Source organism: Homo sapiens, chromosome 17, assembly GCF_000001405.40.
Source record: "Homo sapiens chromosome 17, GRCh38.p14 Primary Assembly".
NCBI lineage: Eukaryota > Metazoa > Chordata > Mammalia > Primates > Hominidae > Homo > Homo sapiens.
Genome location: NC_000017.11, coordinates 11,149,493 through 11,152,436, shown reverse-complemented (window position 1 = coordinate 11,152,436; position 2,944 = coordinate 11,149,493). Strand labels below are relative to the sequence as shown.

Below are 2,944 nucleotides of genomic sequence, written 5' to 3'. Positions count from 1 at the left end.
TCTCATTTAATATTATCTCCAATTTGTAGGTGATTTTTTTTCCATTCGATAATGAAGAAAAAATAAGAAAAACTGTCTTTGATTTCCTAACTTTGACAGCCCCTTTCAAATACATTTTTCACATGTGCACATGTATTTGTATATGTCAGACTCTGCAACTTTGAATGATTCATGTTTATGGAATTCAATATGTGCATTCAGCCATGGTGTGCTTGTGTATACACATATATGTAGATTATGAACTACTATTACAAAGTAAAGGTATTGTTTTTGGTAACAAGAATGCTAAAACGGCATAAGTAGCAAACATCTAGGGCAGCGAATCTCAACTGGGTGTGATACAGCTCCTCAGGGGACTTTTCACGATGTCTGCAGACATATTTGGTTGTCACAACTGGGACTGGAGTGTTACTGGTATGCAGTAAACAGAAACTAGGGATGCTGCCAAACACACCAGACAGCCCGCTACAGCAAAGAGTCCCACCCAGCCGAAGGTTTCAGTAGCCCCAAGGTTGATAAACTCTGTGCCAGAAATAGACAAGTAGGCATATCATTAAATAAATGGTTATCCGGCACCTATAATATACAAGACTCTCTTTTAGCCGTGGTCAGATATAGGCATAATGCAAGCATTTATTAATGTGCTCTCAATTTATTTATAGTATAGGAAGAGGATGTGCAAGGTAACATACCAATAATAAACATTTAGTATACACAGAGTAAGTTAAGCTGAAGATCTACTTGCAGAGGAATGAATATAGGTGAGGCTTAAGGAGCATTGTGGTTATCTGGGTAAGTAGTACTGAGGTATTATCATCCCTAGCCCCTTCAGAAGTAAGGTGGGTGGTAGATGCTGGAATTTGGAAAGGTGAGAGGTGAAGCCGGCTGGGCTTCTGGGTCGGGTGGGGCCTTGGAGAACTTTTCTGTCTAGCTGAAGGATTATAAATGCACCAATCAGCACTCTGTGTCTAGCTAAAGGTTTGTAAATGCACCAATCAGCACTCTGTAAAAACAGACCAATCAGCACTCTGTAAAATGGACCAATCAGCACTCTGTAAAACGGACCAATCAGTACTCTGTAAAATGGACCAATCAGCAGGATGTGGGTGGGGCCAAATAAGGTAATAAAAGCAGGCCACCAGAGACAGCAGTGGCAACGCACTCGGTCCTATTGCAGGTCGTGGGAGGTTTGTTCTTTCATTCTTTGCGATAAATCTTAGTGCTCACTCTGACTGCGCGCTGCGTTTGTGAGCTGTAATCTTCACCTTGAAAATCTGCCGCCTCACTCCTGACGTTAGGAAGACCACAAACCCACTGGGAAAAATAAACAACTCTGGACTCACCGCTTTTATGAGCTGTAACACTCATGCCGAAGGTCTGCAGCTTCACTGCGGAAGCCAGCAAGATCACAAACCCACTGGGAGGAACGAACAACTCCGGACGTGCCACTTTTATGAGCTGTAACACTCACTGCGAGGGTCTGCAGCTTCACTCTAGAAGCCAGTGAGACCACGAACCCGCTGGGAGAAATGATCAGCTCCAGACACGTTTCCTTTAAGAGCTGTAACACTAACTGCAAAGGTGTGGGGCTTTACCCCAGAAGTCAGTGACACCACAACCCCACCAGAAGGAAGAAACTCTGGACGCTTCTGAACACGTGAAGGAACAAACTCCGGACGTGCAATGTTTAAGAACTTTTTCACCGCGAGGGTCCTCGGCTTCATTCTTGAAGTTAGCAGGACCAAGGACCCACGGGAAGGAACCAATTCCAGACACAAAGGGATAGGGTCTTACCGTTTCAGGCACCTTGAAAGGAGTGACATTCAGTTGAAAGACGTATGTAGTCACCATGAGGTGACCTTTCAGGGAAAGCACTGAGGTATTACATATCCCGACCTCTTTTCTTCCCGCTGTGACAGCTCCTCCCAGGCCCATTCCCGCAGACGCTGGAGAGTATGTGGGTCTATTGGTGTTTTGCAGCCGCTCAGCTGAAAAAGGGATGGAGAGAATAAAAAGTGAAGTGGGGCTGGGGGGAGTGGGGGGCAAACCAAAGGTATCTGAACAAAGGAGTTGCTTTCCAAAATAACTTTTTTAAAGCAGAAATTGTTCAGTGCCATAAGGGAGGCCCAAATCAAGGGCTCTCAGCTTTCAGAGGTGTGAAGAATTTTTTCCAGCTTGGATGAGCTCAGGGAAAGCTTAGTAAAGGATGTGGCATTTGAGAAGATGGTCCCGAGGAGTGAGTAGAGTAACCTACACGTCAGCCTCTTCTCGTTTTGAAAGGTCAGCTGCTTTTCATGTATACGGGGAAGGAGAAAGGGCTTCATTTACAAGCCTTCCAAGACTCACCATTCTGCTTTGCTTCCCACGGCTCCCAGCTCTATCTTGGGCCTCTGACCGTTTATTTGGGAAGGAGGTTTTCTCTAGGATGCCTCTTCCTCTGCGTGGCACCCTCAGAAGGGCAAATTGGCCAGGCCCTACTTCCTTCATTATGCTGTTCTTCACAACACTGCTGGTAGGCATATGTGCATGTGTCTACCGCCATAACATGCAGAACGCCTCTGATCTCCTTTGATATATATGTATATGTCTGTATGCATGTCGACTGTTCTGCAGGATTGTAATAACAAAAGGAAACCATAATACAAGAGCACAGATATCTAAAATTTCCGTTGCCATAATACAAAGGAAAAACACAATATGAAATCCGTATAGGGATGCTCTTATGGGCTCCCCTAATTCCTAGCCATACACCCTTATTTTGGGGGTCTGCTCCTTATTGAGAAGCATCTCTCCCTATTCTCCTTCCTGTGATTCATTATTCATTTCAGCAAAATGTTCTTCCTCCCTGCAGAGACTGATCTCAAACCAGTAGCTGCCTCCTTCCCCACTAGCAGAACTTTTATCTAGCTCTCAGTCCATTTAAGACAGTATCCCAGAGAGAGTT

At 44.8% G+C, this 2,944-nt stretch overlaps 1 annotated feature.

Moving 5' to 3' along the window:
- Positions 1,089-2,288: an enhancer, noted in NCBI's record as "CDK7 strongly-dependent group 2 enhancer chr17:11053466-11054665 (GRCh37/hg19 assembly coordinates)". NCBI's record gives its function as "activates an origin of replication core promoter dependent on BRD2, BRD4, P300/CBP, MED14 and CDK7 cofactors, with strong dependence on CDK7, by STARR-seq in HCT116 cells {active_cell/tissue: HCT116}" and the evidence as "EXISTENCE:reporter gene assay evidence [ECO:0000049][PMID:35650434]".